The 17,576-nt window shown below is 56.4% G+C and overlaps 1 protein-coding gene and 2 long non-coding RNA genes across 3 annotated transcripts, besides 1 other annotated feature; 2 read left to right on the forward strand and 1 right to left on the reverse strand.

The window, feature by feature from the left end:
- The first annotated feature begins 386 nt into the window (after positions 1-386).
- On the forward strand, positions 387-1,685 carry LINC02878 (long intergenic non-protein coding RNA 2878). Its single transcript, NR_015445.1, has 2 exons — positions 387-913; positions 1,211-1,685. It is a non-coding gene; the product is annotated as a long intergenic non-protein coding RNA 2878 (long non-coding RNA).
- Positions 3,066-3,566: an enhancer, noted in NCBI's record as "H3K4me1 hESC enhancer chr8:144781964-144782464 (GRCh37/hg19 assembly coordinates)". NCBI's record gives its function as "activates a minimal SCP1, AML or CMV promoter by ChIP-STARR-seq in naive H9 embryonic stem cells {active_cell/tissue: H9 hESC(naive)}" and the evidence as "EXISTENCE:reporter gene assay evidence [ECO:0000049][PMID:30033119]".
- CCDC166 (coiled-coil domain containing 166) lies at positions 9,966-11,381 on the reverse strand. The gene is made up of 2 exons (NM_001162914.1): positions 10,938-11,381; positions 9,966-10,841 (listed from the first exon to the last, which is right to left on the reverse strand). Exons 1-2 carry the CDS (start codon positions 11,379-11,381, stop codon positions 9,966-9,968), a joined length of 1,320 nt encoding a protein of 439 aa, NP_001156386.1.
- Positions 11,323-17,170, forward strand: LOC101928160 (uncharacterized). The gene is made up of 6 exons (NR_134306.1): positions 11,323-11,408; positions 12,525-12,580; positions 14,020-14,087; positions 15,356-15,374; positions 15,902-16,079; positions 16,290-17,170. It is a non-coding gene; the product is annotated as an uncharacterized LOC101928160 (long non-coding RNA).
- The last annotated feature ends 406 nt before the right edge of the window (positions 17,171-17,576 follow it).

Raw genomic sequence — 17,576 nt, forward strand, 5'->3', positions numbered from 1 at the left:
CTTGTGAGGGCCCGGATCCCATGACCCCTATCACCCCATCGAAGCCAAATCACCTCCCAGAGACCTCCTCATACCATCACGTCGGGCCTAGGGCTTCCACATGGGAATTTCAGAGTGACCATTCAGCCCGTAGCAGAAGCTCCTCTGGGTCTGTCCTGGCCCACAGACCCTGTGTAGGAAAAGCACTTGCCCCTGCGGGGCAGGCCCTGGCAGAGCCCGGTGAGGCAGTGAGGGCCCTGCAGGATAAGTGGAAATCTCCCCAGGGGGGATATGGGGGTGCCTTTCTCTTACAGAGTCCAGGCTGGTAAAAGCGCATGTGTGTTTCGTGTCTGGTTTGTCCCCTGCCCAGCGGGCGCCGTTGGAAGGGCCTTCAGGTGCTTGAGCACAGGTGGGGACGGAGCAGCTGGTGTCTCGGCAGTAGATGCGGCGGATCATAAGGACTTGGGTTTTGAGCGCCCTGCAGGAAGCCACTGGCCGCGTCCAGGGTCACCTGTGCCTGGTCGTTAGTCCCTCACAATGCTGTCACTTTGTGACGCTCTTGTGCAGGATTAAATGTGAACAGCAGAGACGTGGGTGATGCGCTGCCTCGTCAGATGATGGTCAGTTGTCCAAGCGGGCTGCCTTGCTCTTGGTGGCCTCATCATCCAGGGCTCACACACTGGATGGTTGGGCCACAGTCGCGGTACCCCCCGGGCTGCAGGCTTTCCACCCTGCTTAGCAGGGCTCCAGGGCTCCGGGTAGAGCAGGGGGTCCCTCCCTTGGCACTTCCCCAGGGAGGAGCACGACCGTGCTCAGCTGCGGTCAGGCTGCTGCTCTTAGTTGTCTTTCCTTCTAACACTCAGGCTTCCCTTCCTGCCTCCTGGGTCGCTGAAGAAGGTCAGGTCCACAGAAAAGGCCTGGGGAGAGAATGGTGGTGAGGAGCCCATGGGGGTGTGAGGGGCCGGGAGGCTCTGCATCTTGCCCTGTTGGCCTCCTCACCACCCAGGCGGGGGTGGGGTGACAGAAGGGGCTCACAGCAGGTGTCCCGTAAGGAGCATCTTCCTTCCTGGGGCCAGCAGCCGTCACTCCCTGTGAGCCTGTAGAGCCGAGTTTTCTCTGCATTTATCTTGGGCAGAGAATGCATGAAGCTACTTCGCGGCCAGAATGGGTGCACAGCAGGGTCCGTTGACAGCCATGCCTGTGACCTAGCCTTCCACCCCTCTGTCTCCAGGGGACACTTGCCTGGCCTTTGTGTTAGCGCTCAGCACACATGTGTCCAGTGTAAAGTCCACCAAGATTAGCAGGGCATGGTAGCTGCCGCCTGTAATCCCAGCTTCTCAGGAGTCTGAGGCAGGAGAATTGCTTGAACCTGGGAGGCGGAGGTTGTAGTGAGCCAAGATCGTGCCACTGCACTCCAGCCTGGGCGACAGAGTGAGACTCCATCTCAAAAAAAAAAAAGTCCGTCGAGAGAGCAGGTGGCGGATGCAGCTGAGAGCTCCAGGAATGGGAGGGCCACGTGGTAGCCACTGGCAGCCTTGACTGAAAGATGAAGGAGTCCATGGTGCTAGGAGGAGGAGTTGCATCCCAGCAGGCTCAGCTCCTGGAGCTGCCTCTCTGCACTCTGAAGGGAGGCCCAGTGGCTGCAATATTCTTCTTTGGGAAGTACAATGCCAAGTAAATAAAGATATTTGGGGTCATTCTAGTTACAACGTATCATAAACTCTACTCACTGTTGTTCTGGGTGTTCATGGGGTCCGCCGTGCGTACCAGTCTTACAGGTCCTCAAACCCATTGGGACCCTTCAAACGAAGAGTGTGCGTGTGGAGTTGGCAGAACCTGACCCGGGCCAGGGTGGAGGGACAGCTGCGTCACTGAGTGCATGTCCAGCCCTAATAGCTCGCTTCGTTGTGTTTGTATCTGTGACCTCTTGGGAGCTAAATCACAGGCCCACCAAACGAAACGTTTTGGGGAATGTGAAATGGGTGGGTTTTGAGCTGGTCCCCAGTGTGAGCTTAATGTTGGAGCCATATTGGATTTTAAAACTTCAGAGGCTCCTTTTCCCGGGGCCAACCATCCTATGTAAAATTCGAGGGCCGATGGTGGAAGCCTGGAGTCCGGTTACAGTGGTAACTCCATGAGGGGAGACCAGCTGTCATGCACCTGAGCACCCAGAATCACTCACACTCCCCACTCCTCCCCTCCCCACACGTGCACACTTAGGAAGTGTGGCAGCCTGACTGCAGGAGAGCCATGATACCACACACAATCCAAACAAAGGCAGAGCAGCCCCGCCTTAGGACAGGTGAGCCTGTGGCCTGCACACCCATTGCCACAGCTGGAGGGCTGTGTCCTTTCCACAGAGGGGTCGGCCAGCCTCGTCTTCTGATCACACTACTTCAAAGGTGCTCAGTCCACTCACCCCACCTCCAGCTGCAGTGTCTCCACCGGGGACCACGACCACCATGTCCATGTTCAAGCAATTCTCTGCCTCAGCCTCCCAAGTAGCTGGGATTACAGGCACCCGCCACCACGCCCAGCTGATTTTTGTGTTTTCAGTAGAGACGGGGTTTCACCATCTTGGCCAGGCTGGTCTTGAACTCCTGACCTCGTGATCCACCCGTCTCGGCCTCCCAAAGTGCTGGAATTACAGGGATGAGCCACTGTGCCCAGCCACCTCAGGGCCTTTTTGCAACTCCGGATGTGGGAGATGACAAAACCACCATGCAAAGAGGGGAAAGGGCGGAAACAATTTATTTGAAAAGGAATAAGGAAAGTGAGTGACTAGTTAAAATTTCAGTATTTGGACACTGCTGAACAGATGTCGGGTGGATCCAGCAGCCGGGGAGCTGTGGTGGGCTGTACGGCGGCCGCCGAGCAGTAGGACACGGTCTCCATCGCCCATCACCTTCCTTGGGGTTTACTCAGCAACTCGGCTGGCCGCGGCCCTGGAGCCGCATGCCTGAGCATCTAAGGATTTCCTAAAGGGGCCTGAGGTCTGTCACCTGGACACGTGGCGAGAGACAGGGAGTGACCCTCTCAGATGACTTACAGGTTGGGAGAGGAGAGATGTCTGAAGGGAAATACACCAAGTCTTTTGTGGCAACTCAACGAAACTGATGGCTTCTGCCTTGTTCTTCAGGGCAGGTCCTCCTGGCCAAATCTGTTCAGCGTGCAGATGCAGACCTAGTCCTACTCTCTTCCTGATTCCATCTCTCCCTTTAATCCCATAGATAAAATCCAGCCCTAGGCTGGGCGCGGTGGCTCACGCCTGTAATCCCAGCACTTTGGGAGGCTGAGGCAAGCGGATCACTTGAGGTCAGGAGCTTGAGACCAGCCTAGCAAACATGGTAAAACCCCATCTCTACTAAAAATACAAAAGTTAGCCAGGGGTGGTGGTGGACGCCTGTTGTCCCAGCTACTCGGGAGGCTGAAAATGCACTTCTCCAATCCCCCTTCGGCTGCCCTTCCTGGTAGGTGCTGAGTGTTGCTGGCCACAGCCCTCAGGGGCCGCCACCTTTGCTTTGACCTTCGCTGACGCAGATGTCTGTTCCAAGGTTATGCCCCTTCCTGGGGCCACATCCAGGAACTAGTAGATGGAGGGGTGCTAACGCCTGGCCCCGTGGCTCCTCTCTCAAGGACCATCCAGCTGCAGACCCCCACACAAGCCCTGCCACGCCTGCATGGAACTCGCCTCTCTCTGCACAAGCTCCCCACAGCAAACCCCCTGCTGAGTGGCCCGGGGTTGGCCCTGGGTGTCTGGCCCCACAGCACAGCGGATCAGACCTTCCACTTGGGGCCCAGAACACCCAGGCTCACGTCCTCTTCCTTGCTCGAGTACTGCCCTGTCCTGTCCATACACAGCCAAATCCCCTCGCCGTGGATCCCCGGGGTTCTGATTGGTCTGATGTGAAGAGAGATGTTCTCTTGCCAGAAGGGGTGGAATGCAGTTGGGGTTCCCTTGGCCAATACATCAGGCAACTTTTGTCTACAAAAGAGAGCTAAGTGCACGTTATTTTAGTGAAGTTTATTCCGAGTTACAATTCACACAGGCCTTCTGCTCTCCAGGAAATACAGCACAAAGGGTAAAGCCCCCTTACTGCCCCTACTCCTGTGGAATGAGCTTTCCTGATGGTGGAGTGTGTCCACTGTGAAAGCTGCCGCTACCAACATGGAGTCGGGGTAGCCCTGAAGTCCTCAGATACAGAGGCCTGTGACAGGACGCAGCCCAAGACACTCCTGCACGGAGACGGTTCCAGGACCCACAGGGCGCCCTCAGGGTTGCCTACCCCAGACGGACGCTTGCCCAGCAGTGACTGTCTCAGCCCACGCACTAATTCCAGCTCCTGTAACAGACTCCTGTAAAAGACCCTTGGCTTTGAAAACAGCTTATGTGGGCTTCTTTTTTGTTCTTGTTTTTGTTGTTGTTGTTTTTGAGATGGAGTCTCGCTCTGTCTCCCAGGCTGGAGTGCAGTGGTGCAATCTCGGCTCACTGCAACTTCCGCCTCCTGAGTTCAAGCGATTCTCTTGCCCCAGCCTCCCAAGTACCTGGGATTACGGGCGCAAGCCACCACACCCAGCTAATTTTTGTATTTTTAGTAGTGACTGGGTTTCTCCATGTTGGCCAGGCTGGTCTTGAACTCCTGACCTCAGGTGATCCACCCGCCTCGGCCTCCCAAAGTGCTAGGATTACAGGCGTGAGCCACTGCGCCTGGCCCTTTTTGTTTTTAAGATTCCCCTTTTCCCCAACTCCCCTGGATACACCTATAGCCTGCCAAATACCCCGAATTGCAATTCTCTGCAATTCTCAAATCAACTCGCTTATTTGGAGAGCTTGTCTCTTGAGTTTCTTTTTAGGTTGACACAACAAATACTTGTCCAACACCTGTGTAGGCACAAACCTGCGTGTGTGTGCTCCTCATCGTGTGGAGTCGTCCTGTGCGCCCCGCATGTGCTTCTTCATTCCGTCTGTGTGCGCTCTTTCCAGCAACCGCATGCTGTCCCATGAATGTGTCCTGTGGAAGGACACAGCCTGCAATCCCAGCGTTTTGGTGCTGTGAATTCCGCCGCAGTGAATGTCTTTGCTCTTACATCTGTGTGCACACGTGCCTGTATCCCCGCTCTTGCGTCTGTGTGCACCTGGGCCTTGCCAGGTTCCTGCAGCTGCTGTAACAGGACACCCCAGACCAGGTGGCTTCAGACAACAGAAATGAATTCTCTCAGTTCTGGGGGCCTGATGTCCACAATCCAGGCATCAGCAGGGCTGTGCTCCCTCTGAAACCTGTAGGGGAAGGATCCTCCCTTGCTTCTTCCAGTTTTGAGTGTTGCCAGCAGTTCCTGGCAGTTCTTGGCATGTAGAAAATCACTCCAATCTCTGCCTCTGTTGGCACACGCGTTCTCCCTGTGTCTCTGTCTTCATGTGACCAGCTTCTCATAAGGACACCAGTTACATTGGATTAGGGCCTACCCGCATGACCCCAGCTAATGACATCTGCAACAACCTCATCTCCAAATACAGTCATGTTCTGAGGTACTGGGGGTTAGGGCTTGAACGTAAATTTTTCAGGGGACTCTGCAACCCACAACAAAGGTACACAATGGATTCCTAGAGGTCGATCTGCTGAGTCAAAGAGCAGGGCTGTTTTAGATTTAATAGCAGCAGCCAGCCAACAAAATCAGGAGCGTTCCACACTCCCAGGCTCTGCAATGACACAGGTGCCCTCCACAGCCCCTTACTCTGGGTCTTCCTCATCCTGGCACTGGCTTGACTTGCCCCTCCCCGTTTCCTGGGCAGCATGGCTGTCTTCAGACACGCATCGGCATTTGTACTTCTTTGGTGTTCGAGTCGTTTCCTGTGTCTTCTGGTTGGTTGTTGGGTCTTTGGTGTTCAAGTCGTTCGCCTGTGTCTTCTGGTTGGTTGTTGGGTCTTTGGTGTTCAAGTCGTTCGCCTGTGTCTTCTGGTTGGTTGTTGGGTCTTTGGTGTTCAAGTCGTTCGCCTGTGTCTTCTGGTTGGTTGTTGGGTCTTTGGTGTTCGAGTTGTTTGCCTGTGTTTTCTGGTTGGTTGTTGGGGACATGCATCGGCATTTGTACTTCTTTAGTGTTCAAGTCATTGCCTGTGTTTTCTGGTTGGTTGTTGGGTCTTTGGTGTTCGAGTCATTTCTTGTGTTTTCTGGTTGGTTGTTGGGTCTTTGGTGTTCGAGTCGTTTCCTGTGTTTTCTGGTTGGTTGTTGGGTCTTTGGTGTTCGAGTCATTTCTTGTGTTTTCTGGTTGGTTGTTGGGTCTTTGGTGTTCAAGTCGTTTCCTGTGTTTTCTGGTTGGTTGGTGGGTCTTTGGTGTTCAAGTCGTTTCCTGTGTTTTCTGGTTGGTTGGTGGGTCTTTGGTGTTCGAGTCATTTGCCTGTGTTTTCTGGTTAGCTGTTGGGTCTTTGGTGTTCGAGTTGTTTCCTGTGTTTTCTGGTTGGTTGTTGGGTCTTTGGTGTTTGAGTCATTTCCTGTGTTTTCTGGTTGGTTGTTGGGTCTTTTCTTATAGCTCCATATAGAGTTGTCCTTCGTCTGTTTTATTTGTTGTAAATATTTTTGCCAAGATTGTCATTTGTCTTCCAATTTATGGTGTAGTTTACTGTAAGTTTTTCACACTGATTTCCTGTCTTCACAGAAAATCTTTTATGCCCCTGAGTTTTCTTTTCTTTTCTATTTTTTAATTTTATTTTATTTTGAGACAGAGTCTCACTCTGTCTCCCAGGCTGGAGTACAGTGGTGCGATCTTGGCTCACTGCAAGCTCCACCTCCTGGGTTCAAGTGATTCTCCTGTCTCAGCCTCCCAATTACAGCTGGGATTACAGGCATGTGCCACCACGCCCAGCTAACATTTTTGTTTTTTTTTAAATAGAGATGGGGTTTTGCCATGTTTGCCAGGCTGGTCTTGAACTCCTGGCCTCAAGTAATCCACCCTCCTTGGCCTCCCAAAGTGCTGGGATTACAGGCGTGAGCCACCACGCCTGGCCTTGGGTTTTCTTTTTTAAAAAATGCTTTCCACGTCTTCAAATTATTTCCAAATTTACTTCCAATACTTAATGTTTTTACTTTTAAAAAAAGTTAACAGACTATATCTTTAGGGCAGTTTTAGGTTTACTGAAAAATTGATCATAGAGTACAGAGATCCCATAATACCCCTTCACAGGCACTTTCCATTATTATTATTTATTATTATTATTATTATTATTATTATTATTTTGAGACGTAGTCTCACTCTGTTACCCAGGCTGGAGGGCAGTGGTGCGATCTTGGCTCATTGCAACCTCCACCTCCAGCTTCAAGCAGTTCTCCTGCCTCTGCCTCCCGAGTACCTGAAATTACAGGTGCCCACCACCACGCCAGGCTAATTTTTGTATTTTTAATAGAGATGGGGTTTCACCATGTTGGCCAGACTAGTCTTGAACTCCTGACCTCAGGTGATCCGCCCACCTCGGCCTCCCGAAGTGCTGGGATTACAGGCGTGAGCCACCGCACCCGGCCACTTTCCCCTATTATTAACATCTTGCCTTAGTGTGGCTCGTCTTCTGTGACTGACAGGCAATATTGATATGTGACTTTTAACTAACACCCATGGTTCACATTAGGGCTTCACTCTTGGTGTTGTAGATCCCATGGTTTGGAAAAACCATGTTTGCACAATTGTAGTATTGTATGGGGTAGTTCCACTGCCCTAAAAATACTCCTTCTTCACCTTTTCGCCCCATCCTCCCCCAACCCCTGGCAACCACTGGTCCTTATTATTGTCCCCCCCCCCCGTTTTGCCTTTTCCAGAATGTTGCAGTTGGAATCATACAGCGTGCTGCCTTTTCAGACCAGCTTCTTTCACTTAGCAATGTGCACTTAAATTTTCTCTGTGTCTTTTTATGGCTTGACAGCTGGTTTCTTTTCAGTACCGAATAATATTCCATTGTCTGGATGGACCAGAGTTCATCCATTCACCTATTGAAGGACATCCTGGCCGCTTGAGTTTTGGCCATTATTAATAAAGCTTCTATAAACATCCATGTGTGGGATATTTGTTTGTTTGTTTGGAGATAGAGTCTTGCTCTGTTGCCCAGGCTGGAGTGTAGTGGCAGATGTCAGCTCACTGCAACCTCCGCTTCCCGGATTCAAGCAATTCTTGTGCCTCAGCCTCCCTAGTAGCTGGGATTACAGGTGTGCACCACCACACCCAGCTAACTCCATATGTGGGTTTTTATATGGACACAAATGTTCAACTCCTTTCGGCGAATGCCAAGGAGCACTGTTGTGGATGGTACAGTGAGAGTACGTTTAGAACCTGCCAAACTGTCTTCCCCAGTGGCTGTGCCATTTTGCCTTCCCACCAGCAATGAATGGGAGCTCCTGTTGCTCATACTTAGAGGCTTTTGGTGTCGTCAGTGTCCTAGATTTATCCACTTACAGGTGTGTTTTTAACGTTTGGATCTTTATTCACAAAGAACCAACCTTCCAGACTGGCTGAGTGAGTGGGCTCCCTATACTTTTTCTAGGGCCCAGCTGTCCCCCTCCCCAACACAGTTCTTGCCCCAGGGCCAGACACCCTTGCTCCAAAAAGCTACACACACAGCGACAACCCAGCTACACAGACCCTGTGTGTAGGGAGGTGCACGGGGCCCTGCAAGCCGGAGAAGCTGCCCGCCTCGCAGCAGCTGCACCCACCTCCCTGCCCGCCCGCCTCGGGCGCAGAGCCCCAGCGTTGGCAGCTCCTCGTGAGGGGACAGAGATGGCTCAGGTGGGCCCACCCTGGTCCCTGGGGGTCCTCAAGCTCCTGGGAGGAGCACCAGGGCCAGGCCCCGGGAGGTGCTGGGGGGGACTGGGGGCACCCACTTGAGACCCCAACAAGGGAACTCAGGGCCCCGGGGAGAGGGAAGCCCGGGCTGAGCGCCACAGACCTGCTCAGAGGGAGGAGCCGGCCCGCGGGACAAGGGGCAAAGGAGGCCACCACCAACCCGCAGAGCCGCAGCCGCCTCCACGCACCCCCGGAATCCACGCCTCCCGAACCGGAAGCGCGGCGCCGCTCTAGCCCTGGGCACTCGCTGGTCGCGTCGCGGCCACGAGGAAGGTTGAGCGCGAGCTGGGCGGGCGTCCCGCGCAGCCCGGAGAGCTGACCCTCCACGGAGGGGCATTTTAATAACCGCCTGTACACATCCAGACGCGACAACTAAATGCAACACGTGACCCTGGAAGATGGGGACAGCCACAGAAACACTTGGGACGGGTGACAAAGTTGTGATGTGAGCGACGATGGGGATAATATTCCTCCACAGTAAATGTCCTGGTTCTGATCACTGCACTAAAGCATCGTAGGAGAACATCCCTCTGTTCAGGAAATACACACGAAAGTACTTCGGGGCTCCGGGGCCAGCGTCTCCAACCGCATCTCAAACGGTTCCGAAGCAACGCTCGTGCACAGCGATACACACGGACCAAATTCACGGGCAGCGTCAGCGGCCGGGCATCCGGATAAAGGGTCCATGGCGGTCCCTGTGCTATTTTTGCAACTTTCTCTAAGTTGGAAAGTATATCAAAGTTTTAAAATTACTGAAAAACTCCCAGTAGGTTGAACATAAGACATCCCCTTGGCGCGGAGAACAAAGTCTACGCTTTTCCCCCGGGCCTCACCGTAGCGGCCCAGCTGCCAGCTGCCGCTTCGTCGCACGTCCGCGCCCGCCAGTGCCCGGGCTTGCTCTGAGCCTGCCGGCTCGCGGTAGGGCCCCACTGAGGGCAGGGATGCGGGGTCCCAAAGGGCATTCAGGGAAAGCAGGCGCTGAGCTCTCTTGCAGCTTGGAAATTGGACGCACGAATGAGTGGCCGGCCGGAAATGCTAGAGCATGCACGCGGGTGTCAGAGCCGCCTGGGGGCCACGCCTTTATTAACCATTGCATTATCCCCGTAAGCGCCCTGCGCGCCTGACTCGCCCACACTAGGGCCTCCTGGGCCTCACTCTCTGCAGGTTCAGGCTCTACCCGGGGAGGCTTCTGCCGCAGCTTCAGCGTTCACGCTGTCCTCCGACTGTGGGGGGAGAAGAGCCGGATCCCGATCCCGGGACAGGCCAGAGAGAAGCTTGGGGCCAGACTTCGTGGAGCGGAGAGTGTCCTGTGAGGACACCCTCGGTGAGGACCCCGAAGAGATCCCAGAGCCCTCGAGTGACTGCACCAGCGACAGGGCCCGGGAGCCTGCGCGCGAAGCGGTCAGGGATGGCATCCGGGATCCCACCTTTGAAGTGGCCAGCGATGGGACCCTGGAGTCCATGCTCGATAGCACCAACGAGGGGACCCGGGAAGCCTCGCGCGACGGGACCACGGACGAGGCCCGGGGGGCCGCGCGCGACGGTACCACAGACGGGGTCTGGGAGGCCGCGCGCGACGGGCTTATGGGGGCGGCTAATGACCCGGGGCGCGAGGTGGGCTGGGAGAAGGCCGGCCGCTCCCAGAGCGGCGGGCCTCCGGGGCCCCTGCGCAGCCAGCCGTGCACACGCGCCAGGTCCCGCGTGTCCTCGTGCTCGCGGTGCAGTTGCTCGCGCTGTTCCAGCAGCTGGCGCCGCGTGTGGTGCAGCAGCTGGGTCCGGCGGAGCAGCAGCAGCAGCTCCTGCCGCAGGCGTCCGTTGTCCGCTTTGATGGCCTGCGTGTGCGCCACAAGCGCGCGCACCGCCTCCCGCTCCGCGCGCCGCGCCAGTGACTGCACGCGCTGACGCGCCTCGCGCTCGAAGGCCGCCTTGTCCTCCAGGAAGCGCCGCTTCACGCGGTGGAGCAGCTGCGTGTGCTCCACGCGCATATGCAGCAGCTCGCGCTCCAGCGCCCGGATCCGGGCCAGCTGCTCCAGCTGCAGCACCTGCGGCGGGGGCGCCGTCAGCTCACCCCCACCCCGCCCCCGGCCCGGCCACCAGCCCCGCCCCGCCTCACCCCGGCCGCGGGCGGGCTCACTGGCCTTGTAGGGCTGCAGCTCTTGCACCTGCTGTGCCATCTGTGCCGCGCGCGCCTCCATCTCCAACAGCTGCGCGCGCACCCCGTCCTCGCGCCCGTGGTAGAGCGAGGCCAGTTCCGCCCGCTGCCAGTGGATCTGCGCTAGGTCCACGCGGTTCTGCTCGTCCAGCCGGACGATGGCTTTGGCGCAGCGCTGGGCGCGCGCGCTCACGTAGCTGGCGTAGAGCCGGTTCTCCTCGCGCAGGCGCAGCGCCTCGCGGTCCAGGAAGGCGTTCTCTCGCAGCACCTGGTCAACGCTCTCCTCGCAGGTGTCCAGCTGCTCCGAGAGCAGCGCGTGTTCGCGTTGCAGGTACTGCGCGCGCTCCGATAGCGGCTGCTCGGCACCCGCGGCCGCCGCACCACCTGGCTGGCTCCCTGCGCTCGGCCCGCGCTTTTTCTTGGGCGCCATGGGTTGGTGCCTGGACCACCAGGACTGGTGAGGGCAGCGACCCCGGCCCCTTCCCCAATTTAGCCCTTCCTCTTACCTGGCCTAAATATTCTAGGCGCCAGGCCCAGAGGTGGGACGCGCCTCGGGGTCACGAGGCTTTTGGGGAGGCAGATCGGGGCTTTGGGTCGCGGGTCAGGGCAGCTTTGCCAACCTTCACTCGTGGGCTCCCGCTGGACCTTCGCTGTCCGTCTGGGTGCGCCTAACATTAGTAATGTTGCTGCTCGGCGGGCACGGTCTCTATGGAGACAGAACTTACTCGTCCTCTCCCACCCCCACCCCGTTACTCTGGCGATGGCCGACTCCTTCATTCCGCACAACTCTCTCATCTTGAGTCGCCCGTGACTGCTTGTGAATGTGCCCCCAGAGATAGGGCCTGAGCTGACAAAACTGGGCTTCAGACGGACTCCGGACGTGCTTCTGAATCTCACAGACCCCAGAAGCGCCCTTCGCCTTCGGTTCAGCAACGGGCCTTCTCCCGGGTTGTCCCCCACTTGAAGAGGAGCTTCACCACGTTCCCCCCCGTTTCCCGAGTGAAATCTCTGTGTTGTCAGGAGGGAGCGCTTCCCTGGAGCATTCGCCTCTTCAGGGACCCTTGCTTTCCCTGAGCATTTCGTGATTCCTTCGGTGAGGCCCCCGTGGGAATTGGGGTTCCTGAAGTATGGAGTCCACTGGGCGCCTAGAGAGCGTTTCTCTCTGAAGGTCCTAAGCGCGCGCGTGCGGCACCCGCTCAGCTCATCCGCGGCTCTGCAGCTGGGTAGCTTCCCTTCCCCGTGTGCCCGGATGGCTGGAGGACATAGGGATCCAAAAAGGGCTGGCTTTTTCTCCTTTTCTGTTGACTTTGTGGACACAACATCATTATTGAAACCATTCCTATAGACTTTATTAATCAGGGAAGAAGGGAGGCGAGAAAGGAAAACAAACCCAGCTTGCAGCTCGCTCAGCATTCATTGTGAGGTCAGCCTGCCTCCCAACTCCTTCCTCAGAGCTGTTTGGTGCCTGTGGCCCCAGAATCACACAGACCCTGTCACAAGATGAGAGGTCCCCATAACTGCTCTATAGGTAACAACTTAAACATAGTAAAATGTGAGGTTTTCTATTTGACAGGTCCTGCACACCCATGAAGCGACTGACCCAGCTGGTCTGAAGCACCCCACGAGGAGGTAATGTGCCAAAGAACGCAGGGTACACATCCTGAGGACTTCATCCCCTTTCCCCGGCCAATTGATGACCCCATTTTACAGTCCGTCACCCGCCACAATCCCTTTAAAAACCCCAGCCCAGAACTCAGGGAGATGGATTTGAAGGTCCCTCCCATCTCCTTGCTCGGTGTCCGGGGATCATGACACTTTCTCTGCTGCAAACTCTGCTGTCTTGATGTATTGGTCATTACTGCACAGCAGGCATCACCACCTGTTGGTCCTGTAAGATTTGCCTCCGTCTAGACCAGCGGTCCCCAGCTCCCGTTCTGTTAGATGCCTCAGGAACAGTGTGTCCAGCAGCCTTTGACACACAACTTAAATCGACCCCTATTTTGTGTTCTGTCATCATAGAGTTGAGTTTCTGCCCAGTTTGTCCACATTTGCTGGGATGTGGGCAGATTTGAGGATCTTTGTGAGGGACACAGTTTAGAAAACCACATTTGCACAGAGGTTTGTGGTGGAGGTCGTCTGGTGGCTCATGGACATGGCTGGGCTTGCTCTGATCAGCCAACCTGCCTGAAAGGTGCAGCAGAGCCTTTTAAAATTAAGAACACGATTGAGGCATTTTACTCCTTGTAAAAAAATGTATTTTAGGCTGGGCGCAGTGGCTCACACCTGTAATCCCAGCACTTTGGGAGGCTGAGGCAGGCAGATCACGTCAGGAGATCCAGACCATCCTGGCCAACATGATGAAACCCTGTCTCTACTAAAAATACAAAAAATTAGCCAGGCGTGGTGGCAGGTGCCTGTAGTCCCAGCTACTTGGGAGGCTGAGGCAGGAGAACGGCGTGAACCCGAGAGGCGGAGCTTGCAGTGAGCCGAGGTTGCGCCACTGCACTCCAGCCTGGGCGACAGAGCGAGACTCTGTCTCAAAAAAAAAAAAGTATTTTATAAGTAAAAATAAGAGGACACAAACTACCAAACAAAGCATTAACATTGTAAGAGGACATTGACTTATAAACTAAACTGCATCTGAATGTTGGCTTTAATATATGGGCTTTTAATATGAAAATGGTGCCTCTCCTGTCACAGAAAATTGGGAAAAGACCACATAGAATCATGAGAAAAACATGACCCTGCATCCCTGCATCCCTGCAGCAGGGGCTCAACTGCAGCAGGGACTCATCTGGGGTGGGGGGCAGGCTCATGTGTAGGGGTGCTTAATGCCCAGCGTTGCCTCTTCTGGTTCCTTGCCATGGCCACACCCCAGTGCTCTCCACCCTGCTACCCTCAGGCCTTGTGTGGGGTCACTGTCCCCATTTGACAGATTGAGAAACTGAGGCAGCAATAGGCAGAGGCCTGCTCACATGGGCCAGTCGGGTGCCCCACAGTCTCAGACCCTGTACCATCCCAGGCCACGCCACGTCCAGGGTCTGGACTGCTCTTTCCCCTACTCCCAGCCCCACTGCACCCGCGCATCTGCCACTGGAGGGTCTCGGTTGCTCTTGGCCTTTAAATCCCTGGTGAGGTAAGGTTTTTAAGTTTTAAGTCATCCCTGCCTGTGGGTTTCTTGATTTTTCTTTGCTTTAAATCTCACCAATGCCTCCTCACAGAGAGATCTGGGAGCCTCCTGCTCTCCTCTGTCGAGGCGTCCTGGAGGCTTTCTTCTTCCCAATTCTGCAATTCCCACTTCTGCAACCCCTGCCTCACCCACCAACTCCATGGAATAGTTGGGGGAGCCCCGACCGCAGCCCTAGTCTAGTGCGGACACTCCTGTCCCTGCAACCACACCCCCACCCCCCCAGGCCTCTGCCCAGCCCAGCGCTTTAACTTCTGCCCTGACCCGGGTCTGGCTGCCAGCTGCCCAGCTGTGCCTCTGACCAACAGGGATGAGGGGCAGGAGGAGACCTGGTTTCTGCTGGGGGGCCACGCTGCATGGGGCGATTCTTTGCGGGGAAGTGGGGAGAGCCTGGCCTTGGGGGCGGGCTCAGATGCCTCCCCAGGATCCCCCAGGCTTTTCTCTCATTGTGTTAGGAAGGCAGGCGGTCTCTGGGGTTCACCAGGTCCTGCACCATCCATGGGGACAGAACTCACTTCCTGTGACACACCTCCCACCCTCGGGGGTCTTCCCCCGAGGCCATGCAGGCCTCCTCAAGTGGCATGGTGGTCTTTGTCCCCCCAGGACCTGCAGTCTCACCCCCCTCAGATACAGGCTGGCAAACTGGAAAGGCCCTGGGAAGAGGGGCACTGTCTGCTCCCTGTGAGGCCCTCCCCGTCCACAGCTGGGCCAGCCTCCCTCCTTTCACCGCCCTCCCCACAGCCCCGAAGCCGGGCCAGCTTCCGTCCTCCCCACCACAGCTGGGCCAGCCTCCCTCGTTTCACCGCCTGCCCCACCGCCCCAAAGCCGGGCCAGCCTCCCTCCTCCCCACCACAGCTGGGCCAGCCTCCTCCGGACCCTCACCACAGCCAGGCCAGCCTCCCTTCCCACCCCTCCGCAGCCAGGCCAGCCTCCCTCCTGCCCCCCAGCCCCTTATGCTGGGCCCTGCTGGGGACCCTGAAGGCTGCAGCACAGGGCCACCTTGGGTCTGCTCCTGGGGCTTGTGGGCTCCCACAGGCTCCCCAGGTGGCCCCGCCCACCGTGCCCCTGTCTTCCCGCCCCTACTGCTTTGCATGTCCTGCCTGATTCATCTCCTGAGACTGGGGTGAGCCCTGCACTGAGCGTAGCCACGGGGGTGGGGCTGTGTGCCTGGCACACCGAGTGTAGCCCTCCCAGCAGCCTCTGTTCCCATTTCACAGATGGAGAAACCGAGGCAAGGTGAGTTGTCCAAAGCCCCCTGGAACTGCTGGGGCTGTGACTTGGACCTGTGAGGGGTTCCTCCCACTTCTCTGCACTCCCTCTGGTGGGGTCCCCTCCCCCAAGCTGCCCTGTGCCCCGGGACCAGGACATGGCCAGTGCATGTGCCAGGGCTGCCCGCCCACCCGGCAAGGCCAGCTCCACCTGTGGAGTTGAGGATGGGCTGAGCCCACTTGCAAGCCCAGGACCCATGGGGCAGCTCCACCCTGTGCACCTTGTCCCTTGTGCAGCAGCTCAGAGCTGGTGGTGACAGCCAAGGGGGCAAAGGGGACGACTGACCACAAGTGAGGCCCAGTGGAGCTGCCCACCCCGTGTATCCTTTGGTTGGGGTCAGGTGCTGGGGCCCCAGTCCTCTTTGTTTCAGCACCCTGGGCCCAACCTGAACCTGTCCTCTGCCCCATATCCCTGGCAGGCCTCCCTGCACCCCCACCCACTGGGGCTGGCTTAGGCAAGGGTGTTTGAGACAAAGACCCTGCCCCCATGGCCAGGTACCTCAGAACCCAGGCCAGATCCACACAAGGCTCTCGGTCAGTCCCAGATGGAAGCTCCAGTCCCAGGCCGTGACATGCATCAGCTCCCACACCCAGGATTGTCCCAGAGAAAGCGCTCTGCCCTCCCCGTCCACAGCACCACGAGGGCCATAACTGCACTGCCACACCTCTCCAGGTATGAGCATGAGGCCCGATCCAGCAGGCCCTGACCAGGTCATTCCTGATCATCCCTAACCAGGGCAGTGGGGGGCTGGGGTGTGGTCCAGGTGGGCCTGCATGGGGCCCCTTGGGAGTCACCTACCTCTGTGAGGAAGAGGATGGCCAAAGGAGGGTGTCCAGGGTCCAGAGCCCCTACACAGGCTTCAGTGATGACACCTGCACCCAGTTCCAGAGACATCCCTGAGAGGCAGCCATCAGGGGTGCCCAGCTGAGGACACGCCTCCTTGGGGACCCTCATTCCTGAGTCCATGCCTCCAGATTCACGATCTCAGAGACAACCACATCCGCAACTGGCACGTGTCCCCACCGAAGGGGCTCAAGTAAGTGACTGGAGTGACCAGGGTGGATGGGCCTGGAGTACCTGGGTCTATAGCCCACGCCCGGAGCAGGAAATGGGGGAGACCTGGGGTACCTGGGTCTGTAGCCCACACCCAGAGCAGGAAATAGGGGAGACCTGGGGTACCTGAGTCTGTAGCCCACATCCAGAGCAGGAGAGAGGGGAGACCTGGAGTACCTGTACCTGTACCTCAGCTACAGTATCTGAGTCTGTAGCCCACATCTGAAGCAGGAGAGAGGAGAGGGCCATTTTGGAGTCCACCAGGTAGCCCCAGTAGGACAGGGAGAGGCTGTGTATGAGATGGGATGGGTGGTGGGCCATGGCTGTGACACTGGAGGGGACAGGGCGGGGATACCTTCTCAGACTATGACACTCAGAGGCAAGGTAGGATCTCGGCCCACACAACAGCACACGGATGGTGCCCTTATGGGAGAGAGCGGGGCCATGCATGGGGCCTGTGACAGCTTGGGAGGTGGGGGCCAGGGGAGTTTGGTTTCCTGGGTTACGGAATGCTGGGTGTGTGTGAAGTAGGAGGCACCAGCCACACTGTTTCACCAGGGGCTGTGATCTGGGCCCCACCCTTGTGACTCTGGGGCTTCTGGATGATGACCTCTCCCCAGACCTCACCCATGATTTCCCCGTGGATTGGTTAAAAATTCAATGCAAGGTCCAGGTCAATAATGCACCCAAAATAAAGCTGAAAGTTACAACCGCATGCAACAAAACTTATTGTGACTTAGCCCCGGCGCAGTGGCTCACGCCTGTAATCCCAGCACTTTGGGAGGCCGAGGCAGGTGGATCACATGAGGTCAGGAGTTCGAGACCAGCCTGGCCAACATGGTGAAACCCCGTCTCTACTGAAAATACAAAAATTAGCAGGATGTGATGGCAGGCGCTTGTAATCTCAGCTACTCAGGAGGCTGAGGCAGGAGAATCACTTGAACCCAGGAGGCAGAGGTTGCAGTGAGCTGAGATTGTATCACTGCACTCCAGCCTGGGTGACAGAGCAAGACTCCATCTCAATAAATAGATAAATAAATAAAATAATAAAAAAAAACATTGTGGCTTATTGTCAAATATATTTGACCAACAAATGATGAGAAAAAAATAATCTTG

Source organism: Homo sapiens, chromosome 8, assembly GCF_000001405.40.
Source record: "Homo sapiens chromosome 8, GRCh38.p14 Primary Assembly".
Taxonomy (NCBI): domain Eukaryota; kingdom Metazoa; phylum Chordata; class Mammalia; order Primates; family Hominidae; genus Homo; species Homo sapiens.